This window comes from Homo sapiens, chromosome 2 (genome assembly GCF_000001405.40).
Source record: "Homo sapiens chromosome 2, GRCh38.p14 Primary Assembly".
Taxonomy (NCBI): Eukaryota; Metazoa; Chordata; class Mammalia; order Primates; family Hominidae; genus Homo; species Homo sapiens.
In genome coordinates this window covers 174,834,931-174,860,402 of record NC_000002.12, presented here as the reverse complement: position 1 = coordinate 174,860,402, position 25,472 = coordinate 174,834,931, and the positions used below count along the sequence as shown (strand labels likewise).

At 36.7% G+C, this 25,472-nt stretch overlaps 1 protein-coding gene across 6 annotated transcripts in view; it reads left to right on the top strand.

The window, feature by feature from the left end:
• The window catches only part of CHN1 (chimerin 1), a 206,573-nt gene that overhangs the window by 144,979 nt on the left and 36,122 nt on the right, over window positions 1-25,472 (top strand). For 4 of the 6 annotated variants that reach the window (NR_038133.2, NM_001822.7, NM_001371513.1 and 1 more), the window contains one exon: window positions 13,446-13,523. The exons of 1 other annotated variant lie outside the window; for it this stretch is intronic. Coding sequence is in view for 4 of the 5 variants with exons in the window: in NM_001822.7 (NP_001813.1) it covers window positions 13,446-13,523 (78 nt within the window). In the remaining variant the exon portion in view is untranslated. Of the gene's footprint in view, window positions 1-12,847; window positions 13,524-25,472 lie in introns of those variants that run through there. One more of the 6 variants, NM_001206602.2, reaches the window with a different exon arrangement.

Sequence of the window (25,472 nt, the reverse complement as noted above, 5' to 3'; positions counted from 1 at the left end):
ACATTATATTCTTTTAAAGATAAAATACATCCTAATTATATAATTACTCACTGAATTACCAATCTGCAGTCTCTGTTATAAATTTAAGACTTGTTTAATTGTTTTACCCATGAGATTGAAATGGCTTTCCACCTTGTAAATTATGTATGTCTATTTGGTGGATTTTAATGGAAAGCTTAATTAGCTATTTCTAAAAACAGTTTAATTAGTTGCTCAAGAGACTACGCTCTCATTTCATTGGTTTGGAGGTAGTTTTATTGATTTGTTTTTATTTAAAGATCAGGAAAAGCCAGTGCAAAATTAACAAAAACAAAAAGGCATGCTACTCAGTAACTCTGTTTGAAGCCCTGATATATTATCTGACAAAAAACTGCATGTATCTAAATGAGATCAACATATCACTTTACCTCCTATCCCCCACCATCAAAATAATGGAAAAGTTTTTTTTTAATGCCGAGGTTAATCACCAAGGCTGACCTTACTTCTCTGTATGTTGTAAACCAATTGTCAGGCTTAGAACTGAATTAAGAGTGGTCATTTTCAGTTGTGAGTGTTTCTGTTTGCTGATGATTCTGGGTCTTTGTGACAGCTGAGCCTTACTTAGGGTTAAGAGTCAGCCTGTTATATCCCTAGGTCTCAGGCAAGCACAGTAGAGTAGAGAGAGGATAGGGAAGTCAGAAGGCCTGGTTTCCATCTTGGCTGCTTTGCTTACTATCTGCCCTGAACAAACACCTTAACATCAGTGAATTTGCCTTTTGAAAAACAAGAATAGGAAGTTACAATGAAATAGTATATATGACATATCACTTTGTGGAATGTAAAGCTCTAAGTGCTACTGATTTGGGGACAGTGTAAAAGTGTGCCTGGATTTCTTTTTAGCCGGGTTGGCAGAAGACTACAGTAATTAAAATTATTGTGAAGTAGAATTAGTACCGGATTATTAAACCAGTTACCTCACAGATTACTTCTTGATATGCCACCTGGTTATAGAATCAGGCCTAGGCCTGGAAGAGGTTTCTGAGTCCTCCCTTGGGCACCCAAGCCTGTTCTCCTGAAACTATGTTTTCCCTGCTAGTTGTCAAGGATATGCTAAACCTAAAGGTGAATATGACATATCTTCCTAGAGCGTTAGTTTTACTCAGTAGTAATGGACTGAAAATATTTTTGTATTAAATAAGCTTAGGTACATTCTGAGGAGCTTGGAGAGCCACTCCTGGATCTATGCACATCCCTAGTCACTGTTGGTTGCTATTAGGGGCATTTTAGTGGACAAGGTAGTAATGTACCAGTCTCAGCTGGCCAGATAGCCTCAAATAACATTTGAGCTTATCAACCTAAAATCTTCAATTGCTATCTTACTTTAACCTTTGTTTTTGTTTGTTTGGTTTTGTGTGTGTGTGTGTGTGTGTGTGTGTGTGTGTGTAGAGGAGGAAATCAGCATGGTAGATTTTTCTCAGTCCATTAAAATGTCACTGAAAGATATTAATCATCCTTTAATCTTTTCTTCTTCCTCACAAGTGCCACTTGTTGCAGTCTGACTTTCTGTGTCTTCCTTTCTAACATACTGACCACATGTGGACCTTGTACAGATGCCTCAAATCACTCTTAAGATACTGAGTTCCATATGGGACACAGTCTGTATAAAAATAAGAACCTAATGACTATCTCTTATATGAAGAGCATATAAGTTAGGGGTTGTTAAGTTTTCTATTAGTTTTATTAGGATCCTTTGAACTAACAGGAATTTCATAAATGAAATGCTATGGACATGATATAAAAAGTTTGTTTTAGAAAATGCCCAAAAGCAAGCTACTTTTACTTTTCAAACATCATTATCTTATAAAACGTGCAATAAGTATAGCAGAGTCATTACAAAGAAAATTAAATGTATGGCAGGACAGTGGACAATTAACACATCTGTGATTTATGCCCATGCTTGTACTTCTTCCCAGGGTAATTGTTTATAAACGTTAAATCTTTTGTCTTCAGGCCACTGTTGCCATTTTCAAAATAAAAGCAAATTTTCAAAAGTATGTTTGAAGATCACAAATCTGCTTTATACCATGAATCAATATATATCTCTATTGAGGCTTAAAATGAATATTTTAAATAAATTACAATTGATATATTCTAATCAAACTGTGGTTTATTTTTGCCATAGAAAGGAAATTAGCTTTTCTAACTGAAGTTTAAAGAAGTCTGTAACAGGCCCTTTTTAAAATAACCAAATCACTTAGGCTTCATCCCAGCCTAATCAACAGAAGTCACTAAAGGAATGAGAAAACTAAAAATACAACCTTTAGCTTTTGTTTTGATATACTAGATTGCCTCCATTAAATTAGTGAGTATAGAGTGTTTGCTGAGATGCAATAACTTGAAATAACCTCATATAGCAGTTTAAAATCTGAAAACACTCCTAATAATATCAATCTGAGTCTGCCTTTTAGTTGTATTTTTTATATGTATATTATATCCAAAAGCTTTTTGAAAAAGTGAAAATGTTTATGATTCAAGAATTTTGCACTAGATTTAAAGTTCCTTATTGTTGACAAAGTGTTAGACCTTCTCTGATTTCACCTTCTCTATTGCCACAGAACAATAATAGTGTTTCTTTAAGTCTTGCAGGTAATAGGTGTCAAAAATTGGGTAAAAATTGACAAAAATAAAAATGTAATGGCACATTTCCCCAAGTATCCCCTCAGATTCATGGGGGTTGGGGGGAAGATCAAGAGGACCTTCTCATGAAGCCCAGTTTCAGCTTTTGATTAGGAAGAGCCTAGGAAGAATGTTGTTATACAACCATCATTCCTGGTAACCAAACATTAGATAGTGTTAGATTAGAACATTTTATTCTTATATAATTTCGTTTATATTTATATATTGTTGCATAATTCAGAATAAGGACATGTTCCGTTTATAGTATAGGTTGTTACCAATACATCAGGACCACAATCTGCCACCCTCCAAGAATTTATAAGTGAAAAAATAAGACTGTATCTTATGAATTAACTTTAAGATCACCTAAGATATCTGAGCAATGATATGTAAAATCATAAAGAAATAACTTAAAGAGGGGACTGAAATAGGTAGAAGTTGATTATGCCAATTCAAGCACAGACCTAAAGTGAGGGGAGACCCACGAAATGGACGCTGAGTATTCTAGTCCATCAGCAAGGCCATCCTAATTGTAAAGGTTGTTCTAACTCTACACATTAAGTATTCAATTTATCTCACTCTACTTGCTCCAATTCCATTCCCACCAACTTCCTAATTATTTTTTGTTTGCAGTGTAGGTGTGCTACCAAAAAGAGCATGTTGGTCACTACTTTATGATATTAATAACTGTATCTCATTATATTTTGTTATAAACTAGACAAGTGCCATTCTGATTTACCTATGAGTTTCATGAGCTTGGTATTTTTTGTCTCCGCTTAAGGAATAGTGCTGACAAACTCCATTTCTGAGCCTACTTGATTGGGTACCAGCCAAAAGCCCATTGTAAATTTGCCAGAGCTACCTTCTGAAGACCCACTTGATACAGCCAGCAGGCCTTTCCCTCATAAACATCCCCAAATCTTTCAGCACATACTTGTGTGCTAAATGAGTATGAACCTTTTCTTTCCTTTTGCATTTCTATTAAAAATATAGAGAAGACCATAGAGCTCATTTAGTCCCCAGGCCTGAGACTTAGAAAAGCTAAGTGGCTTGTCGAATAGCAGTAAGAACAAGGCTTGGAAGCCAGGCTGTGTGCCATTCCACCCCCTCCTCCTTGGGCATAGTGTTCTTCACGTAGTGTGAAAAAGCTCCCTTCACAGCTGGTGCTTGGAGAATTTCTCATATTTCTATTGTTTCTTGAAAGAGGAATGCAAGGGCTATCCTTTTTTGTTTGCATTGTTTTCAGATGTCTTATGTTTAAATATTATTGCATGTGAATCGATCAGGGAGCAGGTGAATTGGTCAGAGTATACAACATTTGGTAGTGGCAGTGTTAGTATAGTGTGATTTAAATTTATTATATACGGAGATGGATGCACTGATGTGCCTTATTGTTATCTGTTTAGATGGATATTATGTTAATGCTAGAGGAGCTATGTAATGAAGACTGAGTTAGGAATTATGATGTGATTGCTGCCAGTAGCATAAAAATTGAGTCCTAGCATAATGTTGAGTTTTCTGTGTAATATAAAAATTTATTTATCCCAACATAATTTAAGGAATTTATAGAGTTCTGATACAGAAGTCTCTAATGTTAGACTTAAAATACATTTGAAAATTTTGCTTGATTGTTGAATCTGGTAGTCACCAGATTCAAATACAGCAGTATTCAAATTCAAATACAGCAGTAGTAAAAGGCCTAGTGATCTGAGCGGCACTGGAATATAAATGCTCCAGAAATTTATTCAAATGGCAACCTTTCAAAATGGCATGTTAATAACAGATAATATGAGAGGCAGGATAGTCTAGAGGAGAGACAATTTGAAGTCAAATAGACATGGATTCAAGTCTTACTTTCATCATGTACTAGTTAGGTGACCTTCAGCAAGATACTTAATTTATCAGAGCTTTTGTTTCTTCATCTATAATAGTGTTTCTTTAAGTCTTTAAAGTATACAATTCTTAAAAGTCTTTAAGTCTAAGTATACAATTCTCATCTATAAAATGAGAATTGTAATAACTACCTTACTGGTTGTTTGACAACTAAACTTTATCATACATGTAAAGCATTTACTAGTACCGTGTTATGCAATTGTCAGTTAATTAATGGAAGCTGACATATTATTGTTAAGTACCTTGGAATATATTCCACTCTTGGCTCTAATGGAGAAAAAATAGGTTACATATTATAATTCAGGGTATGCAAGTAAGAATAATCTGTGTATCTAAGTTGAGTTGAATTTGCTTGAATCCATAAATGTTTATGTTATAACTTGATTTTGGAGGTTTCAGGAAAGCTGTGTTGTTTGTGCCTCAATTTTAACATTTTATAGAAATTGCAGGATTTCACTAAACCTGAATGAGAAACTCATATTACCCAAGAGTTAATCCAGTTACTCAGCACCTTCCCAATCGTAAGGGTCCTGCCAGCTAGAACATTCCTCTGTGGTGCTTTTTGGATGGATTGTTGACTTAGCTTTGATAACTGGAGCATTGTGCTAATGATTCTATGGTATCACCTTGATGTTACAAAGGAGGTGGCTTTTTATGTTACATGAGGTCCTTCCAGTGTCCTAGAGAACATTCTGACTATAAATAAGTCCTGACATTTATTAGTTAGAGAATTATTTCTTTGGCTTAAGTCTCAATCCCACATTAAAAACTAGGTATTTGTGGAAAAGAGTATAATTGGTCATTTGTACTTTAGTGTGAATTGATAAGACCCTTTCCTATAAGCAGGATTTGATGGGATTACTGAGTATGAGCATGGATGTTCTTTTAATTATAAAATTGCCAGAAATAAGGTAAAGTAAAAATTGCATAACAGTGATGCTTATAATGTGTCCCTAAATTATTGGTTATAATTTGACCTGAGCTCACATTGCATAGAACAATGGCCGTAGGTCTTTAATCCATATCATAGTCACAAATTATGCTAACTCTGATCTTGGAAATGTAGGTCCTTTGACACAAGGAAAGAGAGGCAAACTTCCATTTATTGATTTCCTTTCTGTGCCAGAAGTAATGCAAAAATGCTTCCCACATAGTATCTCATTTGATTCCTAATAATTCTATACCATAAGTATTTTCAATTCATTTTACATATAAAGAAACAAAGACAGAAATAAATCAGTTACTTGACCAAGGAGGTGCCATAGCCAATAAATGACAGAGTTAAGGTTAGCACTTTTGTCTGGCCCCAGAGCCCTTGAGTTTCCTATTTTACCACACTTGGTGAAAATGAGACGCTAGCTCAATGCAAATCCAGTATTTGTGGATTTTTGCTTATTGGAAAAATGACAGGGTAGTAAGATCAGTGGGAATTTATTTGAAAAACAGTGAATGTGTTCCTATTCAAGGTCACCTATTTCACCTTCTATTTCTTATTCCTCACACTGCTCCTCTACCCCACCCCTTACCTTTTTTTTTTCTTTTCAGTGACATAGGCAATGTACATTGTGGCTTAAAATCCATGTCTCTTCACAAACAGGTGAAAAGTGGTTCTCAGTTTGGCACTGAGTAAAATTGATCATAGTAATTATAATAACAAAACAGTATTAAAATGAGAAAAATAGAATATAGTATTTTAAACACTTTATTGTAAAATGCAAAGATCTGCTATGAAAATTTGATCATATTTTTTGAAGTATTAACATAGTACTTTACATTTTTATTTATTTTTTCACTCAACTTTAATTGTGGATACAGGGCGTACATGTGCAGGTTTGTGACATGGGTATATTGCACTCAGGTAGCGAACATAGTACCCAATAGGTAGTTTTTAGATGCATCCCACCCTCTCCCTTCTAGTAGCTCACAGTATCTATTGTTCCCAAGTTTATGTTCGTGCATGCTCAGCATTTAACTTCTGCATGTAAGTGAGAACATGCATTATTTGGGTTTCTGTTCCTGCATTCATCTGTTTAGGATTATGGCCTCCAGCTCTGTCCATGTTGCTGCAAAGGACATGATGTTTTTTAATGGCTGCATAGTATACCATAGTGTGTATGTACCACATTTTCTTTATCCAGTCCACCATTGATGGGCACCTGGGTTGATTCCGTCTCTTTTCTATTGTGAATAGTGTTGTGATGAACATGGAAGTGCATGTGTCTTTTTGGTATAATGATCTGTTTTCCTTTGGGTATATACCTAGTAGTGGGATTGCTGGGTCGAATGGTAGTTCTGTTTTAAATTATTTGGGAAATCCCCAAACTGCTTTCCACAGTGGCTGAGCTAATTTATATTCCCACCAACATTGTATAAGTGTTCTCTTTTCTCCACAGCCTCATCAGCATCTGTTGTTTTCTGACTTTTTAAATAATAGCATTTCTGACTGGTGTGAGATGGTATCTCATTTTGGTTCTGATTTGCATTTCTCTGATGATTAGTGATGATAAGCATTTTTTCATATGTTTGTCAGCCATTTATATGTCTTCCTTTGAGAAGTGTTTGTTCATGTCCTTTGCCCATTTTTTATTGGGGTTGTTTTTTGCTTGTTGATTTAAGTTTGTTATAGATTGTTATAGACTTCAGTTATTCGACCTTTGCCGGGTGCATAGTTTGCAAATATTTTTCCCATTCTGTAAATTGTCTGCTTACTCTATTGATAGTTTCTTTTGCTGTGCACAAGCTCTTCGGTTGAATTAGGCCCACTTGTCCATTTTTGTTTTTGTTGCAGTTGCTTTTAGGGATTACACAAAAATTCTTTCCCAAAGTTGATACGAAAAAGGGTATTTCCTAGGTTCTCCTCTAGGATTTTTATAGTTTGAGATCTTTAAATCTTTAATCCATGTTAAGTTTTGTATATGGTGAAAGGTAAGGATCCAATTTTCATTCTTCTGCATATGACTAGCCAGTTATCCCAGCACTATTTATTGAATCCTTTTCCCATTACTTGTTTCTTAGGGAGTCCTTTCTCCATTACTTATTTTTGTCAGCCTTGTCGAAGATCAGATTGTTTTAAGTGTGAGGCTTTATTTCTTGGTATTCTGCTCTCTTCCATTGGTCTGTGTGTCTGTTTTTGTACCAGTACCTTGCTGTCTTGGTTACTATAACGTTATAACTTAGTTTGAAGTCAGGTAGTGTGATACCTCCAGCTTTGTTCTTTTTGCTTAGGATTGCTTTGTCTAGCCAGGCTCTTTTTTTGGTTTCATATGAATTTTAGAATAGGTTTTTCTAATTCTGTAAAGAATGATGTTGGTAATCTGACAGGAATAGTGTTGAATCTATAAATTGCTTTGGGCATTATGGCCATTTTTATGAATTGATTCTTCCAATCTATGAGCATGTGATATTTTTCCATTTATTTGTGTCATCTTTGATTTCTTTCAGCAATGTTTTGTAGTTCTCCTTGTAGAGATCTTTCACCTCCTTGGTTAGCCATATCCCCAGGTATTTTATTTTCTTTGTGGCTACTTTAAATGGGATTATGTTTTCGTTACCGGTTTTGTTTGTTTTTTTGAGACAGAATCTCTGTCACCCAAGCTGGAGTCCTGTGGTGCAATCTCGGCTCACTGCAACCACTGCCTCCCAGGTTCACGTGATTCTCCTGCCTCAGCCTCCTAAGTAGCTGAGGTTACAGGTGCCTGCCACCACACCCGGCTAATTTTTGTATTTTTTTTTTTAATAGAGGAAAAAAAGGGGTTTCATCATGTTGGCCAGGCTGGTCTCAAACTCCTGACCTCAAGTGATCCTCCCACCTCAGCCTTCCAAAGTGCTGGGATTACAGGTGTGAGCCACTGTGCCCAGATGGGATTATGTTCTTGATTTGACTCTCAGCATGGACATTATTGGTGTATAGAAATGCTACTGATTTTTGTACATTGATTTTGTAAACTGAAACCTTCGTAAAATCATTTATCAGTTCTGGTAGCCTTTTGCCAGAGTCTAATTTAAGGTTTCCTAAGTATAGAATCATATTGTCAATGAAGAGAAATAGTTTGACTTCTTCTTTTCCTATTTGGATTCCTTTTATTTCTCTTGTCTGATTGTTCTGGCTAGGACTTCCTCCTTACCGTTTTTATAGTCCTCCTCTCTATATTGCAGATAGTATGGACAAAGGTAGAAACAGAGGATTGTGGAATCTGCCCGTTCCCCATCCCATTTTCCAGGCCTCATTCAGATGAACCTACAGAATTGATATCTGTGTCAAGATGGGCAGGATCACTGGGTGCGATGGCTCACGCCTATAATCCCAGCACTTTGGGAGGCTGAGGCCAGTGAATCACTTGAGCCCAGGAGTTCCAGACCAGCCTGGGCAACATGGAGAAACTCCATCTCTAGAAAAAAAATACAAGAATTATCTGGGTGTAGTGGCATGTGCCTCTAGTCCCTGCTACTCAGGAGGCTGAGGTGGGAGGATCAATGGAGCCCAGGAGGTTGAGGCTGCAGTGAGCTCTGGTCACACCACTGCACTCCAGTCTGGGCAATAGAGTGAGACCTTGTCTCAAAAAAAAGGATGGGCAGGATCAGGTCCCACAACAGGTCAAGGATTCCCAGTCAAAATAACAAGGTAGATACTGTTAATGTTTCTATCAAGAATGACCTTGTAAGATATGTGCCCAACCAGTTTAGGCTCCCACCCAGTTAAACTATTTCTTCTGTTTTATAGAGCCAGAATATGAGAGGTGCTATATGCTTAACACCTTATGTTTATATACTACTCTCATAAGGTAGCAGAAAGAGCTGTCAGGCTTTGAAGACAAAAGATGGGGATTCTGAGCTCAGACCTCCACATCCTGACTGTGTGACCTTGAGCAACTCACTCTGTGAGCCCCAGTTTCCTCATCTATAAAGTGACCATTATGCAACATGCTTCCCAGGATGGCTGTGGGTACAATAGATAAGACAGCCTTGGGAAGCATCAAGCAGTGTTCCTGGATCCTTAACAATACTGAGTATCTCCTTTTCTTGCCACTTTCCACTTCTCTCCTAATCTGCTTCCTCAGCTGGCATACATGTCATTATATGCCATTATATGCCTTTTAAAAATTAGGATTAGATCCAGAGTATGGGTAATTGGGTAGAGACAAAACACAATGGGAAGGGCAGTGTTTCCAGGCATGCTTATGTGGTATAGACCTAAAGCAGATTACAGACTCCTTGAGGGCAGGGACCTGTGTCTTATACTTACACTATATACCTACAGCTAATATTGGGCTCAGCACCCCTGTAATCCTGTCATTTATTGGTTACTCCCTGCAGATAATCTTTTTTGTATGTCATTTCTTTAAACTTCCCAGTAACCTGTGAGACAGGTATTATTATTCATATTATGTAGATGAGGTAACCAAGAAACAAAGCAGAACTCCCAAGGTCAGTATTCAAACTTCAGTTTCTCTGATTTTAAATCATATTTTCTTCATTATACCACACTGCCCCCCAATAAAAATAGCTGCCTTCATTTGGTTTTATTTTTTAACCAAATATATATTGAACCTTTTTTTGTGTAAGCTGCTATGCTAGATTCAAGGTGTGTAGAAATACACATAAAGCCTAATTCTATTTAAACAGCTACACAGATAACTGATATGAGGTAGCATGTGGCAGTCCCATAACTAATGAACCAGTGAAAGACTGTGAGGTTCACAAGTGGATGATATCACTTCTAATTGGTGCAGATTATCAAAGCCATCACGTAGGAGGGGGTGTTTGAATTGAGCCTTGAAGTCTGCATTTCCTACTACATGCTAAACTTGAGATCATAAGATCTTGGTTACTACATTTTTCTTACCATCCATTGATAATTACTGCTAGTCTGTCTTACCATCTATTCCTACTCCTCAAAATTGAAAGAAGGTAACTAGAGAAACCACCTTGAATAGAATCAGAGAGAAGACTCCATGGTTTCCTCTCATTTTCTCACCTGGGTGGATATAGTGTAGTGTTTATGAGCCCAGCCCCCCCACCTACTAGCTGTGCAACTTTGGGAAGTAAACTGTAGGCCTCAGCCCTCTCAACTATAAAATTAAGATAATTTATGCCTCATAGGGTTTATCTGTGGATTCAGTGGGATTCTATGTATAAAGTGCTTAGTTGGGTGTCTGGAATATATGTACTCAATAACTAATAAGTGATAACCGTAATTAATAGATTCTATATATGAGTAGATGGCTATCTACTAGATATTGTAAGCATGAGTGATACACATTTGTCTAGAATGTCAGACTATTGATTATATTGGTTCTGAATTTTAGAGTTATCAATTTTTGTTATTTACAAGTTCTTCACCAAAATTAATGCAGAAGTGCAGTTACTGCCATGTTGAAGGCATAATAGTGACCAAACCCTTAGCCATTTGAGAGTAGCCAACGCTGTTTTCATCCTAAGCTGTTGTTTTCTATCTCCTTACTGCCCTAGGTAGCTGCTCAGATTGCAGTTAATCCAGAATTTCTTGACTAAATAGAACATTACTCAGGAAATACAGTACAATCTGCAGAGTCTACAGTAGACCTTACCTCTGAATGACAAAATGTTTACTTTTACCTAGCTATAAATTTTCTGGGTAACTATCATGAATATTTTTATGCTTGAATTTTAGTAACTATAGCTGTAGAACCAGGAATGATCTATAAAATAGGATGTTGATCAAAAATACTCAAGAAAAAGATGCTACTTTGGTTACATGTGTGATTGTTTTAACTTAGTAACTTGATATCAAATATTGTTGAAGAAAAAATTTTACTGTTCAACTTGTGTTTGGAGCTGTTTTTTTCTGGTTCCTACTGAGAATTGGTTAAACTTCACTTTAGGCTGTACATGTCTAAAGAGTCGGTTGGCCGTTATATTTTTAGTCATCATGTGACAAAATAGGTCCAATCTGAAAAGCAATTTAGGCTAGGCAAGGAGACTTTTTCCATTGCATTTCTTCTTGCAGTGGGAGCATTTTATGTCTCATATTAATTATCTAAGTATATAAACTCATGAAATTGAAACTCCTATGTAAATAAATTTTGCCTTTTATTTACTTAGACATAATTTTAGAAAAATAAAAGGGACTAAAGACTGAAGTAAACAAAAATAATTTAGGGATGTTTAGAAAATCAGTCATTTGTTATTTTTAATGTCTAGCATAGCTTAAGAACCACTTCATGCCCTAATTAAAGTAGAATATGCACTGGGCACATACCTCCTGTAGATTATGAAATCTGAGATTAAAGTATTTACACTACAAATATACTGAATCCATTTAAATACATAGAATTTTAGATGCTTTAAATACAGTGTAACATTGGCATAATTGGTTTAACTTAATTATTATAGCATGAGAAACAGATGATAGGACGTACTTAGGGAACCAAAATGGGAAATGTAAGCATCCTGTAGCACCTTAGTGAAAAAATGTAGGTATTGCTCCTAAGTCAAGTTGTGCTAAGTCTCTCACCTAGCCACCCCGTTTCTACACCAGCAAACAAAAAGTATATGGGTCCTATAAGTAGTTACACTATAATTGAGATCTGTGCAAATAAGGAATTATTCCCAACTGGCTTCCACTATGACCTGGCCTCAAGCTCTCTGAATAAAAAAAATGTTGAGACTAGAGAATTAAAATAATGGTTTCTTCTATGTAAGTGTAGCCCACAACAAAACTACTCATAATACAAAGACAAAACTGACCACTGCAAGCTGTTAGCAATGTGATGTGCATGCTCCTTGTTCTGCATGAAAATAGTATGATACCTAGTTAAACTTCTTTTATCTTTCATCAAAATACTCACCAGTTTTTCCTTGTCTTTAATAAAATTGGGTTTTGGTTAGCTAACCTCAGTCCATAATGAGCAAAGGATACAGATTAGCCTTTCATAATTTACCTGGCAGTGGTGCTGCATTATTTTTAAAACCTAGTGCTGTATGTATGTTAATTTTCCTCTGCTTTTAATAGGTTAAAAAAATTCCATTTTGCAATAATGCATGACTCATTCATTTCTCATTACCTTCCCACTGATTTTTTTTTTTTTTTTTTTTTTTTTTTTGCCTTGAGCCAGCAAGAAACTTACTTACATGAGAGGAGGGAGAAACAGAGACAGAGTGAGTTTAGGAATACAGTACTTAAATACTGTTGCTTGATTTTCATTGGTTATCTCCTTTCTTACGGTGGCCAATCTAATGCAGCCTTCCTTGTGAAATCCCTCCCTTCCCCCCACCTTCCCTGCTAGGGGCTTCATAGGGTGTCTGTTGCTAGAAACTGATTGCAGGCAGTATGTAGGCATCTTTCATTCAGAATGGACATTAATATCTTGAATAGAGAAGAAAGCTTTTAGAAATGTATCATTTGTCAAAATTGCATGCCTTTTAAAAAATGATAAAGAGAGATGCTGAGTGTTTTGTATGTTAGCATCGACTCTTTCTTTTTATTTCTGTTCAGACTCAAGTTTTTAGAAGCTAGAATATAGATCCCTTTAAGAAAAAAAAAGGAAGAAAGAAGAATTTGCTGGTTAGTCGACCTCTGTTTAAGAAGTGCTTCATCCTCCTCCTCCACCTCTCCGTGGTGTTTCTCTGCAGCTCTCTGTAGGTTAGGGTTCTGTGCTGCCTGGCAGAATGCTCATGTGTTAGCTGAATAGATATCATCGACAGACATAGACCACTATAGGTTTTCTTTCCTTGTGAATTCCAAAATGCCATCCAAAGAGTCTTGGTCAGGGAGGAAAACTAATAGGGCTGCAGTTCACAAATCAAAACAAGAGGGCCGTCAGCAAGATTTATTGATAGCAGCCTTGGGAATGAAACTGGGTTCTCCAAAGTCGTCTGTGACAATCTGGCAACCTCTGAAACTCTTTGCTTATTCGCAGTTGACATCACTTGTTAGAAGAGCAACTCTGAAAGAAAACGAGCAAATTCCAAAATATGAAAAGATTCACAATTTCAAGGTAAGAATATTTGCTTTTAGTCTTTTAAGAAATGCATATTACTTGAAATATATAATATTAAAGGAATATCTTATGTCTTTTTAAAACTAGGATGACTTGACTAAAATGTTCTTGCTATTTAAGGAGTGAGATGTTTTCAGCCTGATTTTACTTGAGGAATAGCTGAATAAGGCTAATAGAAATCCAACCCTGTTTTTCTCTAATGCTGTTCTAATATTGTTTTATCAATGTGTACTCACTGGTAAAAGTCTTGACTGATATTTAAAAGGTCTCAGTTAATGATGATTTTGGCATTGTTTTTATTTGTGATACAAATGTGTCTGAATACCTCTGTTGGAGATTTTATGAGAGGATTAGATCTGTGTTTCTGGTAAAAAGCTTTGGATATAAGAGGCATGTGCTGTTGCATCTGGATTGAGCAGATGGTTTGCATTTCTCATAGTTTCTGTCTTTTCTCCCCTGTTAATGAATTGACCATGATGAAAGGAGGATGGCTACCATGGGACTGTTGATGCTGCTGACACTAGCAGCTTCTCCTCACTTTTTGAGTATTTGCTTTCACCATGTATGCGTATGTGTAGTTTTTAATTATTGTGTTAATGTGGTTTATCAACTGTACTTGAATTTTCTTTCAAGGTGATATGTGTGTTGATTCAAGCTGTATGTAGATCTAGTCTGTATTTATAGCATGATATAAGGCCTTGAATTTCTGTCCTTTGCAATCTAATTCAGAGATTAAACAACGTGAGGTGGTGCATAAGTAGACCCAGTTACATTTAATAGGTAGATGCACTGGCATTTCTATAGTAACTTCCCAATAGTTAGACAACTTTGTGATGCGGTTCTTGAGACATGAATGTTCTTAGTTTAGACAAAGTATCATTAGGTTTTATTTTAGAAAGGGAATAATTTGGTTTCAAAATGTGATAAAGCTGGAAATCATGATCTTTCATTTATTTATTTATTCAACATTTATTCAGCACCTATAATGCACCAGGCTCTGAAATAGATAATTTCATTCCACATTTGCAATTTATTCTGATTTTTAACACCAGTATTTATTTTACTCAAACACTAAATACCAACACCCCCCCCCCCACCCATATGCTCTGCATTTTCCATAGTGAGGAATAGGTTTTTGTGATCTTCAGATCATTTTGGGATGAAGGAGAAATTACCTAATAAAATTATGTTTCTTAAATATGTGGGCTATGTAAAAATTGCTAATATTTTAAAATAAACTAAATAACGTTTTCTTCTTCCTCTTTAAACATATTAAGGACCTTACCTTTCAACCAATATCTTGATTTAAAATGAAATAGAGGCAACTTAGTAGATTAAATACCGGATAGAAAAGAGGTATCATATGTGTATCTAGCATTCACTACATCTTTCATTTAGGAACCTAAGCAATACATTCAGGCTTCTAGGCCTCAGTTTCTTTTTGCATGATATACAACCTGATCTAACAGGATTTTTATCAGGAAAATGACCCCAAATAAATCCTTTTGCCAATATGAAGTTATGTCAAAAAAGAAGTCTTTGGGTTACTAATAAAGAGGAAATTGTATGTACACTGTTTAGAAATAGCTGAGATCTTAAATATATCTCCAAAGATGTACTCTGATTTGTTCAGCAAAAACAGCAAAAACCTACTAAGAATGCCATTTGAGTGCTAGGTCAAGTTCATTATACATGCTTTTTATCAATATTGATTAAGAGCAACTAGGAGGTCTATTCAAGAATTTGCATAAACAAACTCTTTTTGTGTTTGTATCTTCCAGTTGTTTCTCAATTTTAACACATGGCTTTAATGAATAAATTCTACACAGCTGGAAAGTTCTGACTCTGCCATCAACTGTAACTCTTACCTTGGTATCTAAACTGCTTTAAAGATACTTGGGTGTTTTTTTTAAGCCTTAAAAAATGGAAAGCTTCTTCCTTCTCTGGAGCTGAAAAATAATGAAAACCAGCTTGGACTTGTTCTTAGAGTATTTATGCTCAAGAAAGAGTTCATTTTAGACAATGAGTTGCATTACATATTATTTAGAGTTGCTAATAAGGTCAGAAATCTCGGAATTGACTCTTTCCATTGAAGTTACTCTCTGTTATTTAAAAATGTTTCTGTGGGGTGGCACTATAAAAAATAAGAAAGGAGGAAAGTCATACTTGACTTCCAAGAACATCCCAGACTCTGTGGCAGGTGCAGTTCTCTCCCACACAGACGCTCGCTTAGAAGGTCACTGATTGTGATATACACATCTATGTATGTACAGTTCAGAAATTTGTGTGGGGAAAAACCGTAGCATTTCCATGACGATAATCATTCATGTATCCTTGTCATTATGGTGGTAAAAGTGTATTCTGTATAACCACGGGCCCACTCACCAAAGCCTCATTTCAAGGTGGTTTTCTTTTTTGCTTCTTGAACTGCCTTGTTATGTAATACTGCTCTGTGGAATCGAACAGCTGTCAAACCTTATTTCAGGGAGTGAAGCCAAGAATGCCTTCTACCTTTGGTGAAAGCACTCACTGAGGTGAAAGCCAAATAAACCAACTGGACCTAACTTCAGCCTACAGACAGGCGTTTGTTTTTGGGGTTTGGGGTTTTTTTAGTAGAATAAAACAGGAAGGCTTCCCTTTTGCTATGTTATGTAACATGGTCTCTTTTTTTTTTTTTCTATTGTTACTTATAAGGATTTGAGAAAGCATCTATCACAAGAAGGATAGTTATATCCCTTAGGGAGGTTATTTTACAGATAAATGCACCAAATCCTCTAAAAACTATTACACTATAAGTTATCTAAATCAATTAGAAAATAATTGTAATTGTCCCCTGGATCAACCTCTTATTTTAAGAGCTACCTCATCCTAATACAACATACAACACACACACACACACACAGAGAAAGAGAGAGAACAAAACAAACTCTAACATTAAAAATAAAACTCAGGCACCCTTCCAGCAATGATTGTGCCATGCATTCTGAGGCTTTCTGGGTAAAATGATAAATAAGATCCAGCCTTTGCCCTCAGGAGCTTGCTTATTATATGCACCACCTTGGGTCAATTGCTTAATCTCTCTCTACATCGGAAAAATTGAGTTCCCAGTACATGTAGATACATGGTAGCCACTATTTTTGTTACTACAAATACCCCTAAGTGGGTTTTTTTTTTTTTCTGAATCTATACTGACATTTATTTATACTTAAGGGTTCATCTGAATCCTCTTATTCCTGTCCAGTTGCAGAGATTATGATGTGATTGAAAACCTTAGCATGATCGTGGGGACTGTGCCTAGTTGTCAGGCAGAGTTAGATGTTGCATAAGAATAGCTACATTTGGCCAGGCACAGTGGCTCATGCCTGTAATCCCAGCACTTTGGGAGGCCGAGGTGGGCAGATCGAAAGGTCAGGAGATTGAGAACATCTTAGCCAATATGGGGAAACCCTGTCTCTACTAAAAATACAAAATTAGCCGGGTGTGGTGGCACGTGACTGTAGTCCCAGCTCCTCTGGAGGCTGAGGCAGGACAATCGCTTGAACCCAGGAGGCAGAGGTTGCAGTGAGCCGAGATCACATCACTGAACTCCAGCCTGGGCAACAACAGCAAAACTCCGTCTCAAAAATAAATAAATAAATAAATAAATAATAAAAGCTACATTTTTCATGCACTACAGAATGCAGTGAAATCCTCTATATTTATTTTACTCTTTTCAAATTAAACTGTTAAATGTTTCATCTGGTTTGTTGCTTAATTCAGATAGCTCTATAAAATAAAATCAAGAGCAGATACAATATTATAATAACGACAGAAGCTAGGCTACTTAGGCAAATTAAGTAATTAAAAGAAAACAACATTAAGAATTATAGGGAGTAGATACTAAAAATATGAGTTTAATTTTTTAAGGTAGTCTTGAATTAGTTGTTGATTTTCATTTCAGGTACTTGCAGTCTGCATGTAAATGAAAGATATAAGATATTGTATTAATAGATTTAGTGTTGCCAAGATAACAGGCAAACAGTGAATCCTGAAATGTGAATTGATATTGCAATTAAAATAACACTGTAACATGAACCTTATAATAGTTAATAAAATTACTGATTCAAGACCTACTAGGAAAAAGAGATCATACTGAACCCAGCAATCCTAGCCAACAGACTGGACACTGTGCTGTCTGGTGAACTGAAGGGCGGCAGTGGCCGACACTCTTGCTGAGGGTAGTCTTTCCTTTCCTCCCGAGGACGTGGGCAAATCCAAGCCCCCTTTGGTCTTCATTTGGTTCACATTTATAATAAAATTAATACAAAATGAATGAACAAATAATAATTTTAATATAAACTGTGAAGTTTTAAACCACATGGTCTAAGGGTTCTCTTACAGCTCTAAAATTCTCGGACTTAATTATAGTGTATTGTGAACCATTAGATTTATTACAAGTATTCCATTTTTCATTAAAATTTTATTGAAGTTCCTATGGAGACAAATTTTCAATACGTTGATTTGAAAAGGAACTAAAATTAACTATATATGAAAGAATATTTAAAACTTTATATTAACAGCAGTGAAATGTCGTATTCAGAAACAGTGTCTATCACCTCTTTCATATTATCCCCACCAACCCTCACACCACCACCTTGCCTCCCTCCATTCTTCCTTGCCCTTTCCCGATGTCTAGTAAAATGCCTGTAACTAGCAGATGCTCAAGAAGCATTTGATAAATGACTAAATGAGTACACAGTGTGACATGCGGGGGACCTTTGGTTGTTGTTACTTGAAAACCTCTTCTCATGACAGCAGGAAATTAACACAAAAATAGAGTCTTCTATTGGTCTTAAGATCTGTATTGTTACAATGTTTTCTTTTAATTAGATTTATGTGAGTTTTCAAAATGAAATAAAACCCAAGATACCATCATGTTATCTGATATTGACTAGAGAATCTGTGTACATATTTTAAATGCTCAGGAATTTGAATAGTGTTTTGAATTAATGGTATTGTAAATGAAGGTAAATGCAATATTACAAAAGGGAAATGACAATCTAGAATGCTTCATTATGCTTCTGCAATAATGTCTCTCATCATTGCCTCTTCTGTGGATATGAACAAGGAGTGTCCAACATAAACATTTTAAAGGAATAATGTGAATTATTCCTTTAAATAATTTTACTTGGAAATTTAAATAATTTTAAATAATTTCTTACTTGGAATTTCTCCAAGAAAGAAATTAAGTGGAATTATATGTATTTCTGTTGTACACATGCACACACACACACTCTTTCCCCAGTTCTCAATGTGGGCCACTTGCAAGAGAAGACAAAAATAGCGCAGATCAGTATGTAGCATAGGTTCTGTCTGCCTAAGGCAATCGGACATGTAGAGGACTGATGAAGAGAAACTAGGAAATTGGTCAGAATCATCTTTAAAGTCCCTGTAAACATTGTATTTCTGTTGCTGCCTATTATAGTACATATCTGATGCTGCAGAAGCCAAAAATGACAGCCACTGCTCTGCTTTCCACTTCTGCCAATGCTGCTGGTGAGGAGGACCACAGAACCTGTGCACTGCCCCTCAGCACGGTGGCCCTCTCAACCTCACCCTGCCTGGCCTTATGGTTTGTCATGCTGGCTGGGGAACTGGTATGACACCCCGAGTACAAGTCATTCAGATCCTTAAGGTTATCAGAAAGGTTACTACCTGCCACTAATAATCCGAAAAGAAACATTTCACAAAGTTCTTGTTGGTTTGCACATAGTTGCATATACTTCTTTGTAGCTATCTTATGGGACTAGAGAATTTAAATTGCTATACTTCAGAGAAACCCATATTATTCTCACAGACCATGGCCCTTTATTCTGGAGATGTTTTATAATCTGTCTTTATTCCCCAAGTTCCAAATTTGGCATCTCTGTATTATACTGCCTCGCTGACACAAATTACTTATCAGTATGTTTTTTGTCTCTTCCATTCAAGCTTTCTACTATATCTTTTTTAAATGTTTTAAATGAGGAAGACATGTTTTGTCTTCCTCATTCCTTTCTAGCCTCTTGTTCCATGTCCATGTGGGCCCCTGAAAAGATTGGCTCTTTCAATATATGTATGAAAAATTGCTGTTGAACATACTAACTCAATCTTTTCAAAGAAAAATCCCTTAACAGTGTCGAAACATCTTGCCCACAGTATTCTCTAACCTAAAATAAAACTCTCCAGGCTTTCCTAGCTCCGTTTCCTCCTTGCTCATCCCTCAAGTATTTATCAAGCAGCTGTTGTGTGCAGACCACTCTGTTAGACATGGGAGGAGACACAGTAATATGTAATGTACGGTCCTTGACTGCTGGATATATGCAAACTGACTGAAAAGAAAGCAAATGTCAATATAATGAGAATGATGAGAAGGTCATAGGAAGGGTTTGGGGCCAGGCACAGTGGCTCATGCCTGTAATCCCTACACTTTGGGAGGCCAAGTCAGGAGGATTGCTTGAGCCCAGGAGTTTAAGACCAGCCTGGGCAACATAGAGAGACCTTGTCTTTACAAAAAATTTAAAACATTAGCTGGGTATGATATTGTGCACCTGTGGTTTCAGCTACTTAGGAGGCTGAGGTGAGATCACTTGAGCCAGGAGATAGAGGTTGCAGTGAGCTGTGAACACACCACTGCACTCCAGCCTGGGAGACAGAGCAGGACCCCATCTCAAAAAAAAAAAAAAAAAAAAAAAAAGAATGGTTTTATGCATAAACACTGGCAAAATACCTTTAATTTTATGTGCCACATATGTATAATAATGCCATATTCCTCATGGTTCAATATTTCATATACAAATACAAATGACATCTCTGCCTGAAACAGAATGACAGTCAGAAGTGAGTATGCAGAGTAAAATTCGACAGAGGGTAGTTTAAACTTTGGAGAGAGATTTTTTTTTGTGTGTGATAAGAACATGTCACATGAGATCTACCCTCTTAAATATTTAAGTAAGGCCAGGTGCAGTGGCTTATGCCTATAATCCCAGCACTTTGAGAGGCTGAGATAGGCAGATCACTTGAGCCTAGGAGTTTGAGACCAGCTTAGGCAACATGGCAAAACTCTGTTTCTATCAAAAATACAAAACTTAGCTGGGCGTGGTGGCACATGCCTGTAGTCCTAGCTACTCAAAAGGCTGAGGTGAGAGGATCACTGGGGCCCAGGAAATCGAGGCTGCTGTGAGCTGTGATTGTGCCACTGCAATATGGCCTGGACGATAGAGCAAGACCCTATGTCAAAAAAAAAAAAAAAAATCTTTAAGTGCACAACACAGTATTGTTAAGTAAAGGCATCGTGTTGCTCACAAGTTTCTAGAAGATACTCAATCTATTATAACTGAAACTTTATATGCATTGAACAGCAGCCACTCTTCTATTCTGAGTTTGATTATTATAGATACCTCATATAAGTGGAATCATGCAATATTTGTCCTTCTGTGACTGACTTATTTCACTTAACATCATGTCCTCCAGGTTCATCTCATGGTGTCATATACGGCAGGATTTCCTTTATTAAGGCTGAATAAATATTCTATTGTATATATATACCATACTTTCTTTAAGGATATAAACGCATAGGAAAAACACGCAATTTTTAAAAGTCACCTCTTACAGTTAATAACAATGTATAAGAATACATTGAGAATAAAATCTCTCTGAGAGTAGATTTTAAGTGTTCTCACTACAAAAAATATGTGAGGTAATGCTTACATTAATTAGCTCAATTTAGCCATTTCACAATGTATTTGCATTTCAAAACATGTTGTACACAGTAAATATAATTTTTATTTATCAATTAAAAATGAAATAATTGTCACTTCTTCTAAATTTTTTTTTTTTTTTAAGACAGAGTCTCACTCTGTCGCCGAGGCTGGAGTGCAGTGGCACAATCTCAGCTCACTGCAACTTCCGCCTCCTGGGTTCAAGCTATTCTCCTGTCTCAGCCTCCCTAGTAGCTGGGATTACAGGTGCCCACCACCAAACACACACCACATTTTTGTGTTTTTAATAGAGATGGGGTTTCGCCATGTTGGTCAGGCTGGTCTTGAACTCCTGACCTCAGGTGATCTGCCCACCTCAGCCTCCCAAAGTGCTGGGATTACAGGCATGAACCACTGCACCTGGCCTGTAAAATTCTTAATATTTCAGTTTACATGTTCATACAACAGTCCAACCTTCAGGAGTTGGTTTTTCCCCCGTTTGAGACATGTTGGTACTCTAAAGCCCCTTCTCGTAATCTCTTCTATCTTATATTCACTCACCCCTTCCAGATTTAACTGAGGATTGGGTCTTAATTCTCTTTTGCTTATTTTGTAAGTTAATAGGAGAAATACCATATGTAATATTTCATGTCTCTGTGTTTCAAGCCTTGTTTAACTGACAAAATGTGCTATCATACTTCATCTTTTTTGTGACCCACTGTGTCAACATTCCCTATAGGACAAAGTCTTATTAAGAGTGAGGTTTGGCTGGGCGCAGTGGCTCATTCCTGTAATCCCAGCACTTTGGGAGGCCGAGGTGGGTGGATCACCTGAGGTCAGGAGTTCAAGACCAGCCTGACCAACATGGAGAAACCTTGTCTCTACTAAAAATACAAAATTAGCCGGGCGTGATGGTGCATGCCTGTAATCCCAGCTACTTGGGAGGCTGAGGCAGAAGAATTGCTTAAACCTGGGAGGCGGAGGTTGCAATGAGCCAAGATCGTGCCATTGCACTCCAGCCTGGGCAACAAGAGCAAACTCCATCTCAAAAAAGAAAAAAAAAAGAGTGAGGTTTACCATGACTGTTAGTAGGACGGTTAAAGCATGTACCTAAAGAATACGTACATGTCTTATCATCTTGCTTCAATTATTGTCTATGTTGTCAAGTACTCCATATCTCAGTAAACTTAGTATCATTAGTTGGTGTTCATCATTTGTTATGTAATAGTGCATGACACAAAAATATTGTTGCCTCCATCAAATAGCCCAAAGGATAGAAAGTAGAAAAAGAGATGTGTATATACACCAAAGGAAGTGGAATATAGGTTAAAAAATAAATGAAAACGTGACAAGCAATGGTTTTTCTTTTTAAATATTTTTACTACACAAAAACTTCTGGTAGCTGAAAACCACTGTAAATTATTTTTTTGACAAGCAACATACTAATAGATTTTTTTTTCCAGTTTTCTAATCCCTCTTCTTAAATTATCTTGAGATTCTTCTGGTTACAAAATAGGAAAACTATAAAGGAAAAGGCCAGTAGCCCAACAGTTGAAGAACCACCATATCATCAGCTGCTTATTTTCTATATTTTTATGTTCTTTGGGGAGCAAAAATAGAACTGGCGTGTTTTGTAAGGTATTATCCAGACTTAAAAATTAAAAGAACACATCTATTTTTAGGTCATGGTAGTCAGAGGCTTGTTGTCACATTAGGTGATATCCTCCAGTCTTTTGTATTAGAGGTGACGTTTTGGCTATCCATGTGAATGGATTTGCCCAAATCAGGCCTAAAATATCATATTCTCTGTTTCTCTTTTTAGAACTACCTTTGTTTGGAGCTTCACCTCTTGCATGTGACACAACCCTGATCTCTGCTTGTGCTCTGCCTGGTACACATGCCCTTGTTCTTAAAGAGAAGTCCATCTCTAGGGGGTGTGCTAATTTGCTTTGATGGTTGCTGTTACAGCTCATTACTCCGCAATTGTATTACTTCAGTGTGTTTTTCTTAATCTGTTACCATGAATATATTTACTATTTGATGGAACAGTTGAGAGACTTTTACTGCAAGTGTCAGAAAACCCAGCCCACACTGGACTAAGAAAAAAGGGAATTTGTTGTGTCACATAGTAGAAAAAGTCCAGCATTAATTGAAGGTATCCTTTGACTTAGGGGCTTAAAATGCCACCAGAACCCTGTTTCCCAACTCTTTCTTCATTTTTAGGCTCCCTCTGGTGACAAGATGACTGTCAAAGTCTTCAGCTCTGTATCCTCCCAGATTCTAGTCAGCCTCAAAGACAGACTGTTTGAAAAAAGGTTCTGGGCATGGCAGTCATTGACCAATTATATCATATGCTCATCTCTGCACCAGTAGCTCCAGTCAGGAGAAGGGAATGTACTGGCTTAGATCCAGGTCTTCCCCTGGAGCTGGGGAAGAGGTCAGCTCTATACGATTCACATGGATTGGGAGCTTTTATGAAAAATAAGAACTTGTTCTGTGTACTGAAAAATAAGCAGTGCCCTCTACAAGATTAAATGTCAAATGAAATCACCTATTGCAAGATCTTAGTGAACAGCCTACTGAATATGACAGTGTTAATGTAACACTTTGCTGGGTGAGATGTGCTCATGAAACATGGATGACAAAAGAATCCTGAAGCAGTTCAGTCTGTATAAAGGGGGTTGAAAATTACTGATTAAGTTAATCTTATTTTACATGTGTAGAAACTGAAGCCTATTAAAGTCACTGGTTGGCGTTCACATGAACGAATCAGTAGAACCAATAATATAAACTAAATTTCTACTTTTGGTCATGATGGAAGAACTACATTTACCTTCCCATCTTAAACAACTAGCAAACCAGAAAAAGTATATAAAAACCACAGCCAGACATTGATCAATAGGTAGTATAGAACTGTGACAACTGAAAGAAGGAACACAAACAAAATGATTCTTAAGATCACTCTTACTGCTTGGAGGCAGTTTCCAGGCCACAGCACATGGAGGGGGAGTCCAAGCAGAGTCTTGTGGTCTACCCCAGTGAAGGACAAAGAGATTAGGGTGGGGTCGTGGGGGAGGTGCAAAGCAGCTCAAATGTATGGGGCAGAGACTGCCTGAGGAGACAGAGCTGCACACAAAAGGCATTCTGGAGATCTGCCGAGGAGCCTTCTTGAGTCTTTTACTGATGACTTATCTGCATATATGTGGGAAGAAACTATTGGGAAACCACCAGAAAGCAATAGGCTAAACAATGGCTGAAACTCACTGAAGACTCATTCTGCCCACTAGTAGAAACAGAAAGAAGTCACAACACATGGAGCATTGGTTAAGACTCTTCAAGAGGGTATCATCTTAGTACTGTGACCAAAATTAACAGTAGACTAAAGGTTGTAGTGAGGAAAGAAATGGAAGCTGTCTTTAAAAATCCAAATTGAATCTCTAGAGGTGAAAAGTATATCTGAAATGAAAAATACACTGGATTATATTAACAGCATATTAGATACCACAGAAGAAAAGATTGGTAAACCAGAAAATACAATACAAAATATCCAAGATGAAGAACAGAGAATTAAAAAAAAAAAAAAAATGAACACAACATCAGTGACCAGTGGGACAATAGCAAGCAGTCTTAACATAAGTGTAATTTGGGTCACAGAAGGAACAGTGATGGGAAACCAGGAGACAGAGCAATTATTTAAAGCTATAGTGACCAAAAATTGTATAAATTTGATGAAAAGTCACAGATCCAAAAATGCAGTGAACACTAAACACTAAACAGAAAAAAATATGGTGAAAGCAACATCAAGGCATATCATAAATTGCTGAAAACCAGTGTTAAGGAGAAAATTGTAAAAGCAGCCAGAGAGAGTGAGAAAATTTGGGGAAAGAACAGTTTTCACTGTAAAGTGATACCGAAGGCCCCTGGCTTACAATGGCTCAGCTTATGATTTTTGACCTTATGATGGTCTGAAAGCAATATTCATTCAGTACAGTCCTGGATTTAGGATTGGATTACATCTGGATAAATTCATCATAAATTGAAAATATCAAAAGTAGAAACCCCACTCTCAACTTATGATATTTTCAACTTATGGTGGGTTTATTGACATGTAACCCCATCATAAGTCAAGGAGAATCCATACTTTGCCTCAGCCTAAGAATTGAGGTTGTTCATCCCACACGTAATGTACAGAGGATGTCTCTCAGATCTAGAAATTATACATACGTTT